We start from the raw sequence: 24986 nt of genomic DNA, 5'->3' as shown, positions 1-24986 counted from the left end.
ATTTTGTGTCTAACTAAATATCTCGAGGATGTTACACATGGCAGGGACAACATAAGTAAAGGTGCTTGAGAAGCACAGGCCTGGTGCCACTGGCAGTTTAGGGCCACGTGTGACCCCAGGCCAGAGTGAAAAAGGGGACCAGATCTAGACTGTGGAGGGCCTGGCCAGCTGCTTTATGGATTCGAGCTTTGATAATCTTTGATATCTTTGATTTTCTTTGATAATGGGGTCTTGTGAACTGTTGAAGGGTTTTAAGACCTGCAGTGAAATGGCCAGAATGGCAGTCCACCTGCAGGCTGCAGTGTGGATTGAGAACACTGGTGGCAGTGGGACCTGCTGGGAGGAGTCTGAGCCAGCAACACAAGGTGGGCAAGGCCCTCAGAGGTTGAGGACAGGAGAGGTAAAGGGGGCATCAGCTGGACTTGGGTTTGGATTTGGATGTGGAGAAGAAACAGGAAAAGAAAATCTGTATGTTTCCAGCTTGAATTACTGGTTGTGCCCCCAGTGAAATAGATAAATAAGGAAGCAGGTTATAGGAACAAGAATGTAAGTTTACTTTGGTATAGATTGCATTTGAAGTGCCTATGGGACAGCTAGTTGGCTACACTAACAGGGATGAGATTATGAGATTACTAGGGTAATGCTAAGTTAAACTTTGAAAGACAGTAGGGGCTGGACATTCCAGGCCAGGGAGCAGCACAAATGCATGAATGAGGAGATCAGGTTTGAGGAACTACTAGCATCTCAGAATGACTAGAAGAAGAAAGCATAGACATGCCGCAGGGGCAGGGCTGCAGGCTGGAGAAGGGGGCTTATGCTAGATGGCATGCGTGGTGGAAAGTCAGACATACCCAGGTCCATGAACATTTGTGTTTTCCCACAACATCAGACTTCTATTGATGCTATTTCAGTCATAAAAACTATGAGCTACGTGGAGTTCCCAAGGAGGCAATTCTCCTCAGTACTGCCCATTCACCTGGTAGCAAGAGCCGTGGGCACATAGGTTCAAGCCAATCCACAAGTCAGTCAATATTGCAAACCATGCATAATAGTATATTTAGTTAATACATAAATGTTATAGATCACATGTTCCACAAAAAAGTGACATTTAACATCAAGAGGAAAGGGGACAGAAAAAAGAGGCTATTGAACCAATCCAAGGAGAGAGAAGTGGGCAAGGAGAATATACTGGACTGATCCTGAGGGATGTCAACATCGTGCAAGAAGAGTCTGTGATTTGGGCAGAACCTTCAGCGGCAGGTGCCGGGTGCTGATCCTGAGTGACAGCAGGACAGTGTGTGTCAAGACAGCCATCTCAAGATGATGAAATCCTGCTCTTTTTATAGAGTGAGGACTGATACATCCCTATCTGGTTGGGAGCAGTCTCTATTGATTAGGCCAACATCTGGCTCCTGTTAGCATGATGCTTTTTGAAATGTGAGAAGGAATTTTTCTAAGATGGAGTTGCTTATGCCAAGGGTGCTCTGTACACTGGATAAATTGAGGATTTTGAACTTCACCTAAAATCTATGAAGGAGTTTAAAGTGAGAGATATGATGAGCTTGACATTTATAAAGACGGTCTGGTAGTGTGGGTACAGTGTTGAGGGCAGATTGAGTTTTGGGCACAGAAGAAGTTGTCTGTTAAAATATTGCTATCACAATTCATGTACAATTCAGGTGTGAAATGAGGGTAACTTTATTTTTCACATCCTATTTCTTCTTGCTTCCAGGCACACTGTAGCAAAACAAAAACTAACAACAACAAAACCCCTCAAATATGCCTATTTCAAGAAATATAATCTCTTCAGGCACACAGGTGGTCCTTTCAGGATTTCAGTCCTGATGGTTCTGACTTCTCCAGTGTACCTTTGCTCATCCCTCTCCCTGGGGTAATTGAAGTCCCCAGGGGCTCATGAGTGTATCATCCTGGCCTTAGTGCCTGTGCTGTGCTGGGTGTTCTCTGTGGCCCCTGTAGAGATGTATTCATCCAGCTAAATCACTATGAAACCTGGGTAGGAGTATGTACAGGTGTGGCTGGTCCTCTATGGTCTTGTCCAGCATCATAGTGGACCCTACTGTTCAGGTCCTTGGTCTGCACGGTAGCCTCGAGGCTCGAGTGATCCATTTGTGGCCTCCTCATCCTCACATAGAGCCTCCACTTAGTTTGTCAGGTTTCTCTGCACTTTCATGTACCCACTGAAGACCTAGGCATTCTTCTCTCTACTGTAGTAGGTGAGATTTTCATGCTTGAGGAGGCCTTTTACGTATAGAAAGGAATTCCCCCATTCACTTGTGCTTTGATAAACACATGTTCATTCCGAAGCTAAAAGTCAATTTACAGAATTTATTTTACTTCTACATCTGGTTATTTTTTACAAAATAAAAATTTCATTCACTTCTTTAAGTATTTTATTTAACACATAAGTTTAATGGATTGAGTCTTCTTTAAACATTAGCATCACTTAACCAAATTTTTTTAGCCATTTGAAATTGTGATTATGTCTATGACTTTAGGATGTAGTAAAGGTTTCGAATATCCTAAAAGGTTGACCAAGAATATACAAGGCAATCCAATGATTATAAAATATATTACCTCACATATCTTCAAACCTTAAATTATAAATAATAAAGTTTTCTGGTGTCTTCATTTCTTTACATCTTACATGTTATTGTGAAGTATAACCCATATATACTTCCTTATTTTTTAAAACCTTGTTACTGTATATTCCTGGGGTTATCACAATCTGATCAGATCCCAAGAAAATATCACCTCATACTAGGCAAGATTACTGGTTTTTTATTACTGACAGTTTAATTTTGGTTTATATATTCTACATTCTAAAGAGGTTCAAACCTGAATTCATGATTTAGGCTTGGTCACCATTCTTATGGTTACCACTTCTTAAGCCTACCCCGCCTTAAACAGTGCATGAGTTTCCATTTCTAGCAATCAGTGCCTACAACTAGAAGGTACTTCTCTTCCCCTTCTTATCTTAAAGGGTCTTCCCTTACATCATATCTTCTATTAATATCTTCCTTAGCCTCCCTGCAAGCCTAATCTTAATGGCAGGAAGACTGGGGGTGGGAGGGGGGATGGATCATAATTGCTGAGAAAAGAAAATACATCAGGGTATAGTTCAAATTTTAAAATTTAGCTTTGTTATATTAGAGATGGGGCTTTGGTTACCACTTGCATCTCTGTGGTTATTGAAGCATGTATGGGAATGAGATCACATGGGAGAAGATGTTGGAGAGAGCCTGGTGTTTCAGAGGAAGCTGAGTCAGTAGGTCAAGAACAACCCTAAAAAGAGACCAAGATGGAAGAATAAAAAAATGAGGCAAAAGGTGGTTTTGTGACAAGACCTTACAGGGAGAACATTTCAAAGAGGGAATGTACAGCAATGTCAGATGAAACAGTTAAGATGATACTACAATGCTACACTTATAACATGATTCCATTGATGTGAGGTACCTAGCAAAGTCAAATTCACAAAGACAGAAAGTAGAATGGTAGTTACCAGGGGCTGGGTAGAGGCAGAAATTGGGAGGTAGTATTTAATGGGTACAAAGTTTAAGTTTGAGAAGATGAAAAAATTATGTGGATGAATGATGGTGATGCACAACAATGTGAGTGTATTTCATGACACAGAGCTGCATGCTTAAAAATGTGTAAAATGGTAAATTTTATGTTATATACATTTTATCACAATAAAAATGCTGTAATTAAGACAATTAAGATAAAGGCAGAAATGTGTCCATTGGTTTTGATAATATCCTTGCGATTGGAATCATTTGCAAGAGTGACTTCAATGTAATGATGGATATTTTTATTAGGTACCGCTACATTACACCCCACCATTTTATTTGTTCATGATTCTGTGGATTGGCTGAGCCCAGATGGATGGCCCTTCTGCTGGTATTGCTTGGGGTCTCTCCCAATTTCTGTCAAATGGTGGCTGGGGCTAGAATGTCCAATATGGCTTCACTTTCATATCTGGTACCTTGGTGGGATGGCTGGTAGGCTGCGACTTCTCTTCCACCACATAGATAGCTTGGGCTTCTTTCATGGTGCCTGGATCTAAAATGTCTGTTCCTGGAAGAAAACCTCCAGTATGCATGCACCATTTAGTATCTGCTTGCTTCCTCCTTGTTAATGTCTTATTTGCCAAACCCAGAATTTGAGGAGGTATGGTTCATTGGGGGTCACCAAAGTAACAATCTACCATAATAAGACAGAAGACAGTGATGGGTAAGAGGTTGATTAAGTAGACAAGAGAGATAAGGATGTTTATATCAGGCTGGTGAGTACGGAGACATGTGAGCATATACACAGAGACAAGAGTGAGCATAGCATACGGAAATGACAGAACGGAGGCTTCTGCGGAGGGAGCCTGGGCAGGGCAGCGGGAGCTTCGGCTAGTTTGACAAGATAGTGATGAAAACTAGTTAACTTGCAGTTAATGTTCAGATTTTGATTGTTCCGGCTTTTTGGATTTATGTCATGTTCTTGTATGAGCAAGAAAGCAGAAAGAAGAATGGAGATGACAGTCAAATCACTGGTGTTTCTTGTTTACGCGGAGAGACTGCAGTCATCCTTAGTTTCTTTCTTTGCCTGAAACCCACATTCAATTTACAACTCCTATTGACTCTAATTCCAAATATACCCTAAATCTGACCACATATCATCAGTTGCCCAGAGAAAACCCTGGTCAGATTACACTCCTTTCACCTGGACTACTACAATAACCCTCTAATTTGCCTTCCTGCCTCTATTTTGCTCTCCTATAGTTCATCCTCCACACAGCGGCCTTCCTTACACATAAATCAGATCATGTCACTTTTGTGCTCAAAAACTAAAGAAAGCAAACAAACAAAAGCCACCTTTAGTAACATCTCATTACAACCAGAATAAAATCCCACTCTTTATCTGGCCAGCAATGTCCCATGCCCTACACCCAGCCCTGGCCCTGTTCTTTCTTTCTTGTTCACTTTTATCCGCATTTCTTTCTTCCCTCCTACTTGCTAAGCTTTCTCCCTTTGAACTTGCTGTTCCTTTTGTGTAGACCACTCCCTCCTCACCCCAGTTTTTACAAGTATATTACCTTTTCATTGTTTACGTCTTAACTCAAATGACACCCCCTTCAAGGGGCCCTCTTTGGCTAACTATAATAGCACTCACTGCTTCGTACACAGCCCTGTCTGCCAAATTTTACCTGCATTTGATTTTTAACTATTTGTCAATAATTTATACACATGCACCATACATAGGAGCAGAAAACTGTCTACTTTTATATTTTCATTTTAATCAAAATTATATGTGCATAATTTAAAACTCAGTTCTATAAAAATTGTTGTCCAGGTGTGGTGGCTCACACCTGTAATCCCAGCACGATGGGAGGCAGAGGCAGGTGGATCACCTGAGGTCAGGAGTTCGAGACCAGCCTGGCCAAGATGGTGAAACCCTGTCTCTACTAAAAATACAAAAATTATCTGGGCATGGTGGCAGGCGTCTGTAACCCCTGGTACTTGGGAGGCTGAGCCAGGAGAATCGCTTGAACCCAGGAGGCAGAAGTTGCAGTGAGCCGAGATCACGCCACTATAGTCCAGCCTGGACGACAAGAACAAAACTCTGTCTCAAAAAGAAAAAAAAGTTATGTAGAGGGGAGACTCCTGTCTTCCTCTCATCTTGCTTTCCCCTACCCAGAGAAAAACGCTCCTCACTTTTCAGCTGAATTTTTGTTATGCTGTTCTTTATTGATCTTTCATGTTTTAGATGTTATTTGTTGACTTGTCACCATGGAATTGTTTCCTTGAGGATTTGTTTCTTTCATCTCACTCCCACCCCCAACACATTCACACACAAATACTGCCAGTCCTGCCATTCTTCCAGGATTTTTGTTGATTTTTTGTTGATCCTGATTTTTGTTGGATCAATGTTTGGCATTTATATTACTCCACCTATATGTAAGCTCTTCTAGCATGAGGTAGTATTCCCATTTTAAAAAATTATATATATATATTTAAGATGTACAATATGATATTTTGATATGCACATATATAGTGAAATTATTGCTGTAGTCAAACAAATTAACCTATTCATCATCTTCTGTAGTTACTTTTTGTTTGTTTTGTAGTAGAGTATCTAAAATGTACTCTGCAAATTTTCAGTATACAATGCGGTATAATTAACTTTAGTATTCAAGTTATACACTAGATGTCTAGACTTGTTCATCCTATAGAATTACAAGCTTTCACCTACACTTTTCACCTACATCTCCCTGTTTCCTCCCCTCCCTTGCCCCTGGTAACCACATTATACTCTTTCTATGTATTTGACTTTTAAAGAAAATATTCCATATATAAATAAGATCATGCAGTAGTTATCTTTCTGTGTCTGGCTTATTTCACTTAGTATAATTTCCTCAAAGTTGTTGAAAATAACAGGATTACTTTTTTTAAGGCTGAATTATATTCCATTGTGTATATATACCACAGTTTCTTTATTCATTATCTGTCAGTGGACACTGAAGTTGTTTCTATGGCTTGGCTATTGTGAATAAAGCTGCAATGAACATGGGAGTGCAGATATCTCTACAAGGTGGTAATTTCATTTCATTTTATTTGGTTGTATACCCAGCAAAGGGATTGCTAAGTCATACGACAATTCTATTTGTATGGCAGTCCTATTTTTAATTTTCTGAGGAACTTTCACACTGTTTTCCATAATAGCTGTACCAATTACATTCTCATCAATGGCCTGCAAAGGTTTCCTTTTCTCCACACGTTCATCGACACTTCTTATTTCCTGACTTTTTGGTAACGGACGTCCTAACAGGTGTAAGGTGATATCTCATGGTGGTTTTGATTTGCATTTCCCCGATGATTAGTGATGTTGATTATCTTTTTATATACATGTTGGCCATTTGTATGTCTGTTTTAGAAAAATGTCTATTTAGGTCCTCTGCCCATTATTTGATTGGGTTCTTTGTTATTTTCCTATTGAGTTATGTGAACTCCTTATATTTTGGATATTAACCAATTATCAGATATATGGTTTGTAAATATTTTCTCCCAATCCATAGGCTGCCTTTTCATTTTATTGATTGTTTTATCTGCTGTGCGGAGCCTTTAGTTTAATGTAGTCCCACTTGTTTATTTTTGCTTTTATTGCCTTTGCCTTTTTTGTCCGTTCCAAAAAAATCATCACCAAGACCAAAGTCAAGGAGTTTTTCCCCTGTTTTCTTCTAAGAGTTGTATGGTATCAAGTCTTACATTTAGATCTTTAATCCATTTGGAGTTGCTTTTGTGTCTGGTCTAAGATAAGAGTTCAGTTTTGTTCTTTTGCATATGGATATCCAGCTTTCCCAGCACCATTTATTGAAGAGACTATCCTTTCCTTATTGGTCTTATTGGTGGTCTTGTTGAAAATTATTTGACCACATATGCTTGGGTTTATTTCTGGACTCTTTATCCTGTTCCATTGGTGTATGTGTCTGTTTTCAGGCCAGTACCATGCTCTTTTGATTATTATAACTTTGTAATACAGTTTGAAATCAGGACGTGTGATGCCTCCAACTTTGATTTTCTTTCTCAAAATTGTTTTGGCTATTTGGAGACTTTTATGGTTCTATATAAATTTTAGAATTGTTTTTTACTATTTCTGGAGAAAATGCCATTACAATTTTGACAGGAATCACATTGAATCTGTAGGTTGCTTTGAGTAGTACTGACATTTTAACAATGTTAATTCCTCCAATCCACAAACACAAGATACCTTTTCATTTATTTGTGTCTTCTTAATTTCTTTCATCAATGTTTCATATAATTTTCAATGTACGGATCTTTTACTTCCTTAGTTAAATTTGTTTCTAAGCATTTCATTCTTTTTGATGCTATTGTAAATGAAATTGCTTTCTTGATTTCTTTTTCAAATAGATTATTATTAGCATAAAAATGCAGCTGATATTTACATGTTGATTTTGTATCTTACCACTTTACTGAATTAATTGATTAGTTCTAACATTTTTTGTGGAACCTTTAAGGGGTTTTCTACATATAGCATCATATCACCAGCAAACAGAAATACTTTTTACTTTTTCCTTTCCAAGTTTGATACCCTCTATTTCTCTTTCTTCTCTGACTGCTCTTGTGAATACTTCAAGTACTATTTTGAACAGAGGTGGTATGGTGAGAATGGGGATCCTTGCTTTGTACCAGATCTTAGAGGAAAAGCCTTTAGGTTTCCTTCATCGATTATGATGTTAGCTGTAGACCTTTTATAAATGGCCTTTATTATGTCAAGGAAATTTCCTTCTACACCTATTTCATTGAGAGTTTTTACCATGAAAGAATGTTGAACTTTGTTAAATGTCATTCTTGCACCTGTTGAGGTGATCAGTGCTTTTGAAATGTCATTCTGTTAATGTGGTGTATCATATTGATTGATTTGGAATGTTAAACCAACCTTGAATCCTAGAGATAACCCCCACTTGGTCATGGTGTATAATGTTTTTGATGTATTGTTGAATTAAGTTGATGATTCCTTTTAATAATTCAATTCTGTGCTCTCCCCTATTTGTTTACCTCTCCTTTGCATATATTCAGATGTATCTGTTATTGTATCAATTCCCTCATCTTCATGAAAGTGTTCCTGGAGCCTTCTGACCTTCTCCAATCTGGACTGTCATGCCTAGGGTATAGCTATCATTCTAGAATTTCCTTTTCCATAAGAACCAGAAATTATATTCATCTTTCTCCTATTTGGATTGTCTAGTTTGTAAAGGAGGTTTGCTTCCTAAATTTAATGGAACACACCCTCTGTTAGCTACCTGAGAAAGGATTGGGAAATTAACCTGATTGGGAAGTTAACTTTTTGATAATTTACTTGTCTGAAAATGTTTTAAATTTAATTTAAATATTTAATTTTCCTACTTACAAAGTATAGTAGGTTATAAAATTCTAGGCTAGGAATTATTTGTCATCTAGGAATTTGAGGCCATTGCTTTACTACTTTCTAGAAATACATGTTCTAATTGAGAAGTCTGAAGTCATGACCTAGGCTTTGTATGTGGGCTGTTTTTTCTCTCTAGAAGTTTGTAGGGGCCATCTTTTTCGTATTCTGAAATTTCCGAATAATATCCATTGATGTGAGTTGTTTTTACTCTTTTTGTTGGGTAATCATTGAGCTCTTTCAATCCGAAAACTCATGCCCTAGGAAATATCTTAGAATTATTGGTCTAAATTTTAGGCTTTATTGTCCTTCCTCTCTTGCTGAAACTCTAGTTATCTGGGTGTTGGAAAACCAGAACTATAACTTCTCATTTTCTTATATTTTCTATACTTCTCTATTTTCCATCTCTTCTTGCTCTCTTCTCTTGGAGATTTCAACAGTTTTATTTTTCAACCCGTATTGAGTTTTATTTTCCTGTGATCTTACTTTTTATTTCCAAGGGCTCCTTTTTGTTGTTAGATGTTCCTTTAAAAGAAAAAAATAATTATTGTTTTCTTATCTTGTTTCATGGCTTCAGTATCTTCTCTTATTTCTCTGTTCATATTAATGGGAGTTTATTTTTGTTTTCCTGGCATTTGCTTTTGTTTGATCTCTGTTTCCTGCAAGTTGCTTTGCTTTTCATTTGGTTTCTACATTTCTCGAGAAGCTTTCCTCAGACTCTTCATAATTCTTAATTGTTGGCTTATATTTAACAGTAGGGCATTAACTTTGTTAATGACTTGTTGCCCATGGTTTTTACTTTAGTTAAATGACTTGTTGCCCTTGATTTTTACTTTAGAGTGATCAGATTGAGTTCTCGCCTTAGGAGGTCCCCAGGTATAAGTGATTTAGATCTTTCCTTTGGGGCTGGTCTGAATACTTAGTGAAATCAATGTAGGCTCCTTCCTGGATGATCACTGGCTAACAGTGTTCTGGGAACCCTAATGAGGAAAAGTTATGGAGGAAGAGAGCAGGGGCAGTTATCCCAGCATTTAGCGTGAGTGTTTTATAATCTGCCTGTTATCAAAATGGTGCATGCTTCTTCAGCACACCCCAGGGCTTCTCCTACAATCCATAGTCTACTTATTTTACTGACTATGTAGAGTGGAGAAAAGGGTCTTACTGCATCTTATACTGACTTGTACCCAATCCTCCTATGGTAGCCTTACTTCTACTTCCACTTGCAGAAGTACCTAGTATCATCAATTGCTAAAATGTTGGGGATGGGAGGAGTTGGGTGGTGTAACTTTGATTGCTTTTCAGCTTTCCTTACTGCCAACTTAGGATTCAGCTTTCTCATATCTGCTAAGTGAGTTACTAATGGTCTGCATGGTTTAGACTTTTTCCCCCACTTTTAAAATTTGTTAAGGCTGGGTGTAGTGGCTCATGCCTATAATCCCAGCACTTTGGGAGGCCAAGGTGGGAGCATCGCTTGAGCTCAGGAGTTTGAGACTTGCCTGGGCAACAGAGTGAGACCTCGTCTGTACGTAAAATAAAAAAAAAAAATAGCTAGGCATGGTGGTAAGTGCCTGTAGTCTCAGCTACTCAGAAGCTGAGGCAGGAGGATTGGTTGAGCCTGCCAAGTCAAGGATGCAGGGAGCCATGATTGCATCACTGCATCCCAGCCTAGGTGACAGAGTGAGACCCTGCCTCTAAATTAACTAAGTAATTAATTAAAATGTGTTGCTGTTTTCCTATTACCTGCTTTTCTTCATTCTTGGGGATTTGTGCCTTAAAAAAATCCCTTTACTGGTGCTCTAGGGGATTTCTAGAGAAAGCAAAAATAAATGCATGTGTTCAGTCAGCCACCTTTTCATTTATTTACACTTCTATGGACACATAATTTCCTTAAGTGTGGGAATTCTGTCTGCCTTGTTTACTTTTTCATCTATGCCCATAGTACCTGGCACATACTAGATACATGATAAATATTTGTTGAGTGACTGATTACTGGCCGATAGACCAGCTAACTAACTTTTGTTGGTTAGATTTCTGAACCACCTAAAAGGTGCAAAATTTGAAAATGATGGTGTTGTGGACACACCTACAATGAACTATTTCTGAAAGGCAGGACGTGTAGGGTTTCTTTAAATATACTTTCATCCTATTGAGTACTGTTTTAAATTTTTAAATTAATTTTTCTGTTTATTTTGGTTAGGAATTTAAAAGGGAAATATGAACCAGTATTAAGATAACAGTATACTTAGGGAAGAATATGACATAGCTAGAATGTGGTATATGGTGGCTTTTTTTTTAACCTAAAACTGAATTGTTCTAATTCTTTAATTTCCTTGGAGTTTGGTTGTTCCCTGTTGTCAGGATGGCAAATTCCTAGCACAGTTTTTAAGGACTCAATTTTGTCCCATAAATTATTTTAAATATTTTTGTACATAAAATAAAATTAATGTTCCTATAATGATAATGCCCTAGCCAGTCCAGCTTTAAAGTTTTCAATGGAAGGAAAATATAACAATCTGTAAGAAAAAAGAAAATGAAAGCAAAGGAAATTCAAGGAAATCATTTTTCTTTCACAAACCAGGGCCATGTTCCCTCAAGTAGCCTTGTGTGCATGTATTAATTAATTTAATAACATTCACCAAGCACCTCCTATGTGCTAAACCCTGGAAACTATGCCCTGTTTGAGCACTCATTCCACACTCATTTAATTAAATTGATTTGAAATTAACTTTTCTGTTGCTATTTTTTTCTCCATGGGAGCTTTACCATAGCAGTAAACATTTTCATCCACATACCAATTTGGTAAGGTGTGTACCACTGCATCCATTTTATAGCTAGCTAGTTATAAATTATAAATTGAGAGAATAAGTACTGTGACAACAGAAGACATAGAGAAAGCCCGTGTTGAAACCAGAATTAGAATTCACTTGAATCTCTGGTGCATTTGTTTTAATCTGGTGAGTAGTACCCTTGCCTATAGAGAGATGTTAATAATTCTACACACTTAAGGAAAAGAATAGCATTTCAACCTTGAATAATGATAGACATGAAATCCAAGAATATACAAAAATGAAATAGGAAATCAGTGTTGCCATATACTGCTTTAAGAAGTTTTTTTTTTTTTTTTTTTTTGAGACGGAGTCTCGCTCTGTTGCCCAGGCTGGAGAGCAGTGATGTGATCTGGGCTCACTGCAACCTCCGCCTCCCAGGTTGAAGCAATTCTCCTGCCTCAGCCTCCTGAGTAGCTGGGATTACAGGTGCATGCCACCACGTCCAGCTATTTTTTTTTTTTTTTTTTTTTTGTATTTTTAGTAGAGACAGAGTTTCACAATGTTGGTCAGGCTGGTCTCGAACTCCTGACCTTGTGATCCACCTGCCTCGACCTCCCAAAGTGCTGGGATTACAGGGGTGAGCCACCGCGCCCGGCCTTAAGAAGATCTTAATGTGAAATGTCTAATTTTTTTTCCTTTTCACGTATAAGTCATTCGTGGGTTGATAATAGGCATAATTTTGGAAAATTCTAAATACAGAGGTTAAAGGTGTGGTCCCTCCTGTTTGATAGTCTTCAATAATTAATCATGAATACATTTATTTGTGGTGAGTTAGGTCATCCGTATTTGTGTCCATTTTTAGGTTTATCAAATACAATTTTCTCCCAAAAGAGGTATACTGTGACGATACTGCAAATTTAAAATGCATAAAGTCTGCATATCTAAAATCATTGTCTTTTTCCTTTAGAATTTTTAAGTCATAGGCTGTCATTCTTTTAAAAAGGCTGGGATTCTTAGGCAGGTTTTTGGATCATTGTTTTGAATAACAAATTCTTTCTTTTTTTTTGCTTTTGTTTTTGTCCTGTCCCTCCTTCACCTTCTGCTTACCCACTCCCCTGCATCCACTCTCTACAAGCAGGGAAGATCCTCCTCTCAGGGAAAGACAGGAAGGAAAGTGAACAGCAATCCCGAGAGGCCAAAGCTAATGGGGGCTTTGCGGATCTTTCAGCAGGGGTTGTCAATGATAATCGTGCAGCAGAGGGCTCCTCTACGGGCGCTCTGACCTCTTGGTAAACTATTTGTTTCTCCTTGTATTGATTAAAAAAACAAGCCACCAGCCTGTAACTCTCTATCAACCAGGGTGTTGTTTTTAAGAATCTTCCACATTTAAAACATACTAACTCAAAAATCCCAGATCTTTGGCTTTGCTTTACTCTGTATTTCAGGTAAACCAGATCATTGATACTATTAAAACAGAATCCCTGAAAGAGGCAGAGGATACTTTTCAGGTTTATATCTTTTGAAAGAACATGAATCACACATTTCAACATTCAGTATAATACCCCAAATATTAAACCATCTAAAACAAGCATTCCTCTTAATTAGGAGTATCTAAAGACCACAAAATGTTTAATTGTACTTACATTTGGGTTGCAGAAAGGAATTCTGTTTTAAGTATTTGAACAAACTGAAGCTATTGTTTTCCTTAGTATGTCACATAAAGTCTACTTTTTAACCCTCACACCATAGTATACTAAAGTAAAATCCAAGGACCCAAGGCAATTTGATCGCTTGCAAGCATGAATCTAGATAAACCTTACAGTAGAGAGAAACCTCCAGGTTGTATACCTATTGACATTGCTTAATAAAAACTTCTAGAATAATGGTGCTTCTGGTTGTTTTTCCAATAGCAATGCGATTGCAGTGCACTGTGGATTAAGTTACTGATCCTTTGAATTCTGACCTTCTGTCTAAAACAGCTTTAGAGGTTACTCTTTTTTTTTTTTTTTTTCCGATTTGGGAGACTGGAGGAAGAAAAAATTAATACTGCTTGAAGGAAGAAAAAAATTCTATAGGTTATTAGGTTTGGGGGTTCCCTTTCCCCAGTCTCTGGCAATTCCTTTGTAGTAATAATAGAGCTTCTTGATTCTGAATACTTAAACCATACATCCAAATGCATCAGGAAATGTGAAGTGCACTTTTAATATAATTATTTCCTCAGTGAATAAATCAAGTGTTTATGATATAATAACTATTAAAACTAAAGCATATCATACTGGGTAACTGAAATTAAGAAAGGTAAAATGTAAGAAATTGATATAACTATGAAACAAGACATGCATATAATTGCTTATTGTAAACTCAGACTCTTTGCTTTTCCTTTTTAATATAAATAATAAGTTGGGAATATTTATAATCTCTAGGAAAATAATTAACCTTTTTGAATATGTAAGGAGAAAAAACCCACATCTCCTGATTTGACCACTTCAAGTTCAAGGATTTTTTCTCTATTGACCATTTAATGTACTTTTATTTTTGCATCCTTAAAGTAACTTGCAATATGTTTTCAGAAATAATCAGCTACTATATAGTGATTTTTTCTCTTCCATATTGAATATATTATTTTGCTATATATCAATATGTATCATTTCAAATATCACACACTTTTCTGGATTTTTATTAACTTTATGGGCTATCACCTTGCGTCAAAATGATGATACAATGAGGAGACATTAATGTCCCATTGCTCCATCTACTGTTTAGAAGTGACTTTGATGGTGCTAGAAAAATGAGGCAGGTTCCAGAACCAATAGTGAGGGAAAAAATCACTCATATTTAAAAAAATCAGGATTCATAAAAATATAAAATGCCTAGCACAGTGCCTGGCATGTAGTAAGCACTTCATAAATGCTAATTCCCTTCTTTCCTCCATGAGCTATTCATTGTTTCCGAAGAATTTAAAAACTGTGAACTCAGCTGTCATGAAACCTGAAAAACACAAAGCAAATTTCCAGATCCTCTTACATGTTTTGGGAGGTGCTGACAAGATTGGTTTTGCCCATGGCTTAGAGGGAAAAATCTTGGCGAAGAAACAACCTGGGTTTTCTAGGTTGCTTCATGTCAACAGAAACCCATTTCACAGCGCGAGAAAGCAAAATAACTTATCGCTGAGATTAAACATATGCTTCCAGGACCAATTATTTATATACTTTTTGGCAGGAGGAAGAAAAAGTAATGGTTTGCCATTTTGGAAAATCAGTTGATTTTAAAATAGGAAATCTGTTTTATCATTTTTTTAAGCACCTGCATTATCTCATCCCCCTTTCTTAAAAATCTGCCACTGCCCTTGCTATCACTATTAGTTTCAAGAAGTGCTGCTTAAAGTTTCTATTAAGAATAATAATTTAAAAAAAAATCTGATAGGCAGCCATTACTACATAGGATAACAAGTTTCACACCCTACATAAATAAATGTTATTATTAATATATAATAATCAACGTGCTCTTTAGGAAGTCAGGAAATAGGTTCTATTTTCATATTGTGTTGATATAAAGACTGTAATATGTATTAAAATAATTTTCCATGGTACAGCTAATAGTTAATTACCTCCTTAGCTTTACTGTTAAAAGCTAATCATGTTGGAGTTTGAATGGAAAACATTTCACAAAATATTGGTAGACATTCAGTTTGGCAGATATAATATCATTCTTAAAATAAATAGAGGATGTTTTACTTGGTTGCATTTCAGCAGAAGGCTCCTGGGAGCAGGACCCTCATTGTAGGTCTCATGCTGGTGGGGAAAGAGCAGGTCATGGAAGTGACCATTCAGAATGCCAACAAGGATCATAGTGTCAGCCATCCAGACACGGTTCCAAAGGCTCCATAAAGAAGCCAGGGAGGTAGTGCCATGGCATGGACCATAAGAAAAATAAATTTATGTGAAACCAGGAAGACTGGAAGTATAGTATTTTGGAATACTCTATTTGCCATTCTACTTTGAACAGTTTAAATTACAAAATGTTGAATACTTCCACATATTGATTTTAATCATGTGGAAGAAATAATGAGTGGGATTTCGCTTTTTTAAGAAAATGCATTAGTCTTTAAGTGCTGATTATATTTTGCAACTTACTATACTGTTATTTTTGAAAAATAATCATCTCATAAGAAGCATAGAAACAAAGAGATTAGTAAACTTTTGGACCAGGTAATAGCATGCATGCTTCTAACGTTATTTCAAAGTAAACACAAATAGAAGAAAAATAACTTCAAAGTGCATCATTTATTGACAACTTCACAACTGTAAAATAATTTTATTTTCATTATTGGAATTAAAAGGGAAAGGGACACCTGTATTTTATCCTTTGTTTTCTCGTGTTTATTTGTTATACTTAATTTGATTAATCAACTGTTAACTCATGAAGTTTTAGAAAAGCCCAAGTTACCTTTTAGATTGTTGTAATGAGTTTCTTGTATCTGTCCTTGTCTCTCTCTCTCACATATATATACATGACATTTGTAATATGTATTGAATATTACAAATGTAATGTAAATACCGTGTGTGTGTGTGTATATGTATATATATATATATATATATATATATATATATATATATATATATATGACATTTGCTTTTTTTTTGATCATGCCCTTAACCTAAAACACTAAACTCTTCTACCAAAATTGAAGACTTCCTTCATATAACCAGGCAGGTATCTAGGCAACAGCTGGCTCTGTCACATAAAACCTGTTTGGTGATACAGCATATGAAAGATCAACTGTCTCCTTGAGGGTTTTCAAACATTTCATATCAGTTGAATATTTCAAGTATTTTCCCTTTCCAGATAAAATTATGTATTTTTTATTGAGGAAAAAGCATATTGGAAAATTTTAAAATTCCTTTCCATACATTTATGTATTGAGATTTACATGGCAAATATGAAATAGCAATGATTTCTTCTATCACCTTTTACTAGTAGCAATGTTCAACAAATTTCCCTAAATTTTGTAGTTATATGTATGACTGTATTTAGGGAACAATTTAGTCCTTAAAGTATATGGTTACGTTACATACTATAGTTATAGTTGGTGAAGATTTAGAAATAAGAGGCTATCAATAAATACACTATAAACTAGGTGTTGTTAATAGCTTAAATGTGGCTCTTTATCATAGGGTAACTTACTTTTGGTTTAAATTGTATGCAATAGTAATTATTACATATTGGATATTCAAAAGTAGTAACCATACACAATTTATGGGTAAACGTGATTGTTTTTAATCCATCTAATTTTGCTTCAGGAAAATGAAACTCTTTAAAAGTAGTAAATATGCACATGGATATTACTTTTAGTCAGTGACTAAGCTCTTTGTTACATAATTATGAAGCATGAGCTATACCATATCAATTAGTGGTCACATTACATTCATCATGATTTTACTAATTTTCTTCATAATTATATGCATCATTTATTTAATATTTCATTTGGTTATATAAATAAAAATTAAATTTCAACATAAAATATGTAATATGATACATTTAACTATAATGTGGGCAAGTAACTTGTATATAAATGTGACATACTTTACATAATATTCCCACTGTTTTGATTTTATATAGTTCATATATTCTGGATTTGTCAATATAATCTTTCATGGATTAGAAAAATAATTTCTTACTCTCTTATGTCTAAAATAATTGTTAAACAATTGGAAGCATGAATACAATAGCTAAATGTAAAATTTCAAGCATTGTTTAATTCTCCAACATCTCAAATTTTAGATTTTATAGAGCTTAGAAATAAATGTGGTTGCAAAAGTATTTACTGTTTGATATCAGATTGAATTACCACAACATTACATTTTATCTGACAATGCTAGAAATCTCCATTACAAGCTGTATTTTATTTTCTGCATATATACTTTAGTATATTGAATAACTGATACTTCTGGTCTGAGAAAGTGCAGTAGGTGGTAACATAATTCTATTTCTGCTGCATATATGAACAGATCCAATAGCAATCAACTGTGTTTTGACCTGGCTTCCCAAATATGGTAGATGACTAGCCCATGATTCCTTGCTGGTACTATACAAAATGAAATCCTAGGTGAGTTTGCAGTTTAAACTGTCGTTTATGTTTGACAAAGTGTTCTTTTCTGAGGAATTCAGATTGGCATACTTTCGGTGGTTGGGGGGAAGTCTGTAATAAATTTTGGTCATTAGCAGCTTTTTATTTTTTGTTTGCATCGGAATGGTGCTTTCATTTACATATTAGCAATATAAAGTTATGATTGTGTCTATGTGTTTTATTAGTTGACGATCTGGAAATGTATTATAAAGTCATGCAAAAAGTTATTGTGATTTTTAAAATTTTTTTCACATCTATCAAGCGCCTAAAAAATGAGGACGCTTTTTTTTTCCTTAAATAAAAGACCTAATCAGCAGAATAGTATTCTATGGGTGATGACAAAACAGTTTTAAGAAAAATCCGATGGGCTTAAAGATTTTATTTTAGAGCACAAAATTGGTTACAACGAGTGACTAGTATCAAAATAAACATTTGTATTTGAATGTTGGCACAGGTCTGGCAAATTGAGATACAATCATTAGTCACATAAACGATGCCTTCTTTGAATATTTGAAATCAACATAATGGTTAAGTCTTATCACCAAAGTCATGTATCTGTATAAAACATATCTTAACTGAAGCTCAGCTCTTTAGGTGAGTGTTATAGACTGTCATGCATAGATTCCGAGGTCAGTAAGAATTTTTTTTTAAAAGAATAAGCTGTAAAGAAAGAGTTCTAGATAACATGAATCTTTTCCAAAAACCATTTAAAAATATTAACACTGAAACATTATCTGGTTCATAGCCAAGGAATTGTTCACAGAAGATTTGCCATTCTAGAAATCATTTCGGATTCATCCTTCAGGCTTTCATTATTAAACTGATAAAAGCTTGCACGTTTGCTTTTTCATTTTCTACTTAAAGGGAAATGGCCATTCTAGTTTTTTATTTCCCCCAGACCTGTTTCAGTAGTAGGTACGTTAGTTAGGAAATAAATTATGAAAAGTAGTGGATTCCCTAAGTTTCAGGGCCTGAAAAAAGTTTAGGAAAAGTGTAAAAGATAACGTGTAACTACTCCCCAAAGATCTTAATTGGTAACTACTGTTGCAAGAGGACGCGTGTGTGTTGACCACGTCTCAGAGAAGTTATTCTCACACAGCTGTTTATTCAGATAGCGTGGGGCGCGTTCATTTACATAATTTTTTTTTTTTTAAACAGCAAGGTTGAGTCAGACAGAGCAGTGCTCCTTTCAATTGTTGCATTTAAACCAATAAGGTTAGGACAAGAGAATAGCTGTGGTTTGCGTTGCAAAAACCAAAAAAAAAAAAAAAAAAAAAAAAAGAAAGCCCCGAGGCTCCATGGGCAGACCTACAAGGCTGCGCAAACAAATCGAGGGATGAGATTCTGCTGTTTCTTTGTCTAGGGTTCTCAGATGCTATCTGCCGCTGCTGTTTGGTGGGGAAGGAGCGCTGGGCGCAAAGCTGTTACCAAACAGAACGGTGGGAGCTGATGGCTCCGAGTTTGGGGCGAGGTAGAAACTCTCCAGTGCCACTTCCGACTTTAAGCCTTCCTGTTGCCGTCCACTGTGGCGGGTTTCTTCCTGGGGAACACGTTTTCGCTCAGTCGCTCGGCAGCCCGAGCCTGCGGCAGCGGCCAGGCGCCTGCCCCCTGCGCCGAGCTTTCCCCTGCAGAGGCGCTCCACTCCCAGAAGCGCCGCGGCTGCACCAGAGCGCCTGAGAGCCCCCGCGCGTACCCATCCAGGAGCAAAACTATGTCAGGAATGGAGGTTTGCTAACCCAGAAAATTCGAAGGAACACATTAAACTGGTGGATGCAGCAGATGTAAGCGCTGTAAGTACAAGCTGACTGTTTGAAAAATTGTAGTGACTGACAACAGCTGTCCTGTGGGCAAAGCCCAAGCTAACAGGAGCGCTTTTATTATTGTTTTGATTTGTTTTCAAAGAAAAACATTATGGCATGGGGAAAATTATGACACTTTGTACCTAGTACTTTATGAGCCACAGGGTTTCATCCTAGAAGTAGAATTCCCAACCTCCAAATTATGAGCGATCAGGATCATTAAGAAATAATTACAAATTAATTGTTAACAATTACTTTTGTTATGCTCTAGATAAATGTAATGCAGGACCATATTCTTGCAGGGAGATGACTTCATATCTCTTTTCTGAATTGCTGCACAAATCTCAAATATATTTGTGTGGTATTGAATAAAGCGGTACATATATGTTCATTGCAATACATAAGTAACTTTTACACACTTTGATATGAAAAAAATGAAGCATTTAACATTTGAAAGGACAACAGATAACAACATTAAATTGATAGCACTTTTTAAGGAAGAAAATATTTTTGCTTTAATAAATTTCCCAAACGTTATATTAAACAAACTTATCTTCAGAAGGTGATATAACAAACATTTACCCAATTAATATATTTTTCTCTTATTGACACTTTGTAAGGCTTGAGTGGACCTTGAAGTTTAAAACAAGATCTGTAAACTTTTGAATTACCATTTAAAATATTTGCCATTCAAAATCAGTATATGAATTGTTAATGACTCATGGGTTTATATTTATTGGGAGGAGGTTTTGAACACATTAGAGCATAGCATTTGCAAGAATTCAATAAATTCAGAGCTGTCATTGAATTTAGGCAAACGTTTTTGTTTTATTTCTTAAAATGGCAAGGGGTACAAAAGGTCGATAGTAAGCACATAGTGTAGTTTTATAGGTTTGGGATTGTTTTTATAATGTGTCTTTCAAAGTAGGTTTTATTTTATGCTTGCATGAGTCTTTTCCCCCACAGTCTGGGGTCTGAGGACATGCACACATGTACAGTCATGCTTTTGCATTATCAAATATTTGATATTTGACTTTCTGCATGCTTGAGTTCTCCCAAGGCCCAAAGTGTTCAGTAAGTGAGCAAGCAGCCATGGATTTTCAATCTTTGAACATTCTTTGCGGTGACAGACATAGAGGCCTAATTGAGCCACTGTTCAGTTTTAGAGGGCCAAATGGAAGTCCACTGCTGTGTGAGTTTCATAGACATGATAAATGATTTTCTCAAAAGAAAATTTCCATTTGTGAAAATCGTATTAAGAATACATTGTAAAGAAGAAAAACACTTGCAGCAAGAATAAAACCACTTGTTTATCAAATATCAAAAGTATTTCATTCAACATTTTAAGTAAATTGATATTGAAAACAATCCTTTAAAGCTATTGGTAGCATCCATGTGGTTTAAATACTTATTTTTGTTTTCATGCGGACTCTATTTTGTCATTTTCTTTAAACGACGCATTGCAAAAAGTAATGTACTATACTACTTGAAAATAATCAGCAGTAGTATTAAAGCATTTATTTTATGGAGTCTTTGATAAAGAAGGAAATATAGTGTTAACATTTAAAAAACATTGACGTCTCCCTAGAACTTCATTTCAATTTTAGGTTTAGGTTTTTATTTTTAAAATTTAAGTTTTCATTACAACAATGATGCCATAGTTGGAGATATCGATTGAGGAGAAATTTTAGCAAGAATATACCCTAAAACACAGATTTATGGCTAAGGAAAATTTTTTTTACATAAAATACATTCTGATGAGAAAATTGCCATTGTCTTTCAAATTTGGGAGTACTCAGGTTGATCTGTGGTTGGACAAAACTAGCTTGCCTGCCAACTCTATTTATTTAGATAAGCTCAGTACTTTCACTTTGAAAATTTCTTTTCAGTTTGAAAAAAAAGTTTTAAATTATAGTCATTTTATAAAAATTGCTTCTAGCAAGCAAAAAAAGCCTATGGAAAACCCGTAATTTAGACAAGTACCTACATTTTATTTGCTCTGTGCTGCTGAGATTTAGAATCCCTTTCCATTTACAGTTTACTTTTCACAGAACATTATTAACTTTTTGGCTTCATGCATGATCTTCTGTCAGATGCTTTTGATTTGTAATTTAGCAAAGTATAATAAACAGTGCAAAAGTCATGAATTTTGCTCTGCATCCTGAGCTCTGTGGTAGGGAAAATGTGATAAAATGTGTACCTTAAGTCTTGTTTGATGATCTCTCAAAGCAAGTTTGCCTTCTGGAAATAATTTCTGGGGTTGAAGAGCATGGTATTAACAGATTTAATGTGGCTATTCAATGGATTGGCGAAGTACTATGTGAGGTTTAACAAAATGAGAGAGACAAATTGAATATCAACAAAAGTTACATCTGTGAAGAATTATAAATTTAATTAGAAAAAAGGCAAACTTAAAAGACCTCATTAACTAATCAGAAGTCAAAGTTACTAGTTTAGGATTCTTGAATTTGAATTCTAAGAAGTTCTGCTTGTTGCTATTTGTATTTTCACAACTCTGTCAATATGCTACTATGGGTATTCTATACAATGAGTTTTAAAAAGCATTAAAGTGAAATGACTTGATTGTAATATAAGATGACCATTTGTTATGTTATGGGAAATATTTTTGCACTCATAGAAGTATTTAAATTAAAAATACCAGATTAGGAGAAGACAAGAAACATGCTAAGTTTATGGGTGTAAAGCAGAAAATGTGAACTTACTGAATGCCTCACATCACTTTTCTAGAAACAATAAAAAATAATATTTTTCTCTTTTGAATGGAAATATCCCTAATTAATTATTTTCAAAACACATTATGGTTTTAGACCTTTACAAGACAGAAACTTCCAGAGATATTATCAAACATGAGAGGAAATCAACAGCAATCAGAAATAGGTGTTCTTTTTAGATAAGTCATTATAAGACTATGTTTCCTTCTGCACTGTAATCTTGTACTACACATAAAAAACTAAAAGCATGTGAAGTGTAGCATTTTGTAAACTGTAACTAATTTTGCTCACATCTGTGTCTAATTGTTGTCTGCATTCGCATTCTTGAGAGTAGATTTATTTTTCCTGGACCACGATGTGGATTCAGCTGACCAGCCTAAGTGAGGATTAGTTGTTTTAAAGTTATTTTGATTAAAGAGTCATTTTTAAATACAGTAACACACAACACATGGTTTAAATAATCCCTGAGACACAAAAGAGTATATCTGAAGTATACTTAATGAAATGTAGATCATGCATATGGACTTTCAAAAGTTGTAGAGTATGAAAATACAGTAGAGTCTAGTTGAACCAGCATAAAAGAAATGTGTTGTCGTGAAAATGCATGTTTTCACTGAAATGTGGTAGACTAATTCTTGTTTTGAAGTTCACTTTTTCTTTATTAACAACAGTTTGACTTTGAAATTTAAATATGATTGGTTAAAGTACAAATATAAATCTAACCAAACTTTCAAAGTGTATACTGAAACTAAAATTATATTTCCAACATTGTACTTTCCAGCTAATGTTAAAATGGAAATGTATTTTAACATTTAACAGAAAGAATGCTTTAAATACTCTTTCACATAATTAAGCCAGGAGAGTTCTTAAAACTAAGTTAGTTCTCACCTATAATTTATTCCAGGTGTATAAAAGTGGAGAAAAAAAAAAAAGAAAAAGGAAATTTATCCTTGAGGTATATTGCTGGACTTTCTAAAGGAAACCACTTAAACTTGTGTGAGAACATTAATTTTTAACAAAAATCGCAGAAGGTTGTTATCACGGAATGACACATCTGTAGGCATTGAAATTTAATTTTTATCTTATACTCAAGCGTCTTTTAAAAATTGTTTTTCATCCTGCACGTATTGTAGAAACATACCTAGAAATTTTACGTAACATTATACCAAGACAGTTGGACTTTAATGATGCTTTATTCTTGCTAGAAAGGTAGTATTTCTTATTTCATAAATCATAATTTAAAAATAACAGGACTTAACAGAAGACGTTTGGTTGGATAACTGTAATGCCATTCGAGATGCTTTAGTTCTCATCTTTGTTCTGTAACCCTAATTGATGTCAGTTCAGGTTGAATGAAAATGCACATCAAAGATTTGGAATTCTGAGCCATTTTAAACGTTTTGCAGAATGCTCTCCTACTGAGGCGTTAGCCTGAGCTTACAAGCCAGCAGCCTGGCCTCACCTGAGCTTTATCACCTGCTGGCAGTTTGAGCTGCTTCTGGAAGAAGGGCAGTGACTGTCAAAGCCTGCACATTAGTTAAGTTGTTCAGTGAAGTCCTGAAGTACAGATTCATCTAGAAACAAGAGAGACTGAAATGTAGGCTGACTAGGATGGTGAATTGATTATTAAACTTTCCATTTTCTTCCTCGGTTTAAAAGATGGAAAATCCACCAAAAAAGCTAACTACATTTTCTGGTTTACCAGGCAGAACTGATAAGAACCCATTGAATTTTAAATTGGCGAGGGTAAATGAGCACATTGTTCAGTGGAGTGACTTTGGGTATGAAAACTTGCCTTTGCCTTATATAGTTAGTCCAGCATTGTCAGGAAGTTGCCCAGAAGCTGTTTTAGTGAATGTTAAATGACAAATAGTAAATGTAGGAGAAAACCATTATGATAAGGATAAGAAACTGTCAGGAGTCAAAGGGGTGGGCGGGAGCTCTATTTCAGCTGGTGATAACAGAAGATGAAAGATCTTCTGAGGATGCTGGAGGATTACTGCTTGAACTATTGCTGTTAAACACGATCATTTTGTCATTCGCTATTTTTTTCCAAGCACCTTTTCCAAGCTGCCTGGGCAAGGCTGCTTTGCATGTTGATTGGGGGAGGGGTAATCCCATTTGCAGCTGTCATAGGCCAGTGATGAATCACTATCACGTCATTTGGCTGCCTTCCCCCCCTGACAAGGGGAGGAGGAGGATAGACCTGCAGGAGGAAACAACAGTTGAGACCTCAACTTAAAGACAATATGCCTTTCACTGCTGCAGTATCCTCCTTTTTCTCTTTTGGTTAAAAGAGAGCATTGTCGTTCTCAGCCATGTGCTCTGTATAATTAAGAGCTGACACTGAAGCAGAGTAACAACATCTTCTAATTTTTTTACCCCTGATCACAGGTGCAAACATCTCAAGCCAGTTCAGATGTTGCTGTTTCCTCAAGTTGCAGGTAAGGATATTGTTGATATTTGACATTTTTGGAGATTACCTTTCTGTGACCCATATCTATTTTTGTCTAGTGTTTCTTAATTATTTCTATTAATAGTAACAGCCTCTGTTGGAAATTACTTAACAGTTTGTGTGTGTGTGCTTGTAAAACATTTTAAGTATGTA

The 24986-nt window shown here is 35.9% G+C and overlaps 1 protein-coding gene across 26 annotated transcripts in view, besides 2 other annotated features; it reads left to right on the top strand.

Moving 5' to 3' along the window:
* The window catches only part of EYA1 (EYA transcriptional coactivator and phosphatase 1), a 350662-nt gene that overhangs the window by 166811 nt on the left and 158865 nt on the right, over window positions 1-24986 (top strand). For 17 of the 26 annotated variants that reach the window (XM_047421528.1, NM_001370336.1, XM_011517484.4 and 14 more), the window contains one exon: window positions 24773-24822. In XM_047421528.1, the coding sequence (XP_047277484.1) occupies window positions 24773-24822 (50 nt within the window). Of the gene's footprint in view, window positions 1-19214; window positions 19638-24577; window positions 24823-24986 lie in introns of those variants that run through there. The other 9 variants (NM_001411797.1, NM_001288575.2, NM_001288574.2 and 6 more) reach the window with 2 other exon arrangements.
* Window positions 19287-19808: an enhancer, noted in NCBI's record as "H3K27ac hESC enhancer chr8:72273711-72274232 (GRCh37/hg19 assembly coordinates)". NCBI's record gives its function as "activates a minimal SCP1, AML or CMV promoter by ChIP-STARR-seq in primed H9 embryonic stem cells {active_cell/tissue: H9 hESC(primed)}" and the evidence as "EXISTENCE:reporter gene assay evidence [ECO:0000049][PMID:30033119]".
* Window positions 19425-19534: an enhancer, noted in NCBI's record as "active region_27516". NCBI's record gives its function as "activates an Ori minimal core promoter by ATAC-STARR-seq in GM12878 lymphoblastoid cells {active_cell/tissue: GM12878}" and the evidence as "EXISTENCE:reporter gene assay evidence [ECO:0000049][PMID:35858748]".

The sequence above is a fragment of the Homo sapiens genome, chromosome 8, assembly GCF_000001405.40.
Source record: "Homo sapiens chromosome 8, GRCh38.p14 Primary Assembly".
NCBI classification, from domain to species: Eukaryota; Metazoa; Chordata; class Mammalia; order Primates; family Hominidae; genus Homo; species Homo sapiens.
This window is presented reverse-complemented; position numbering and strand designations above follow the sequence as displayed.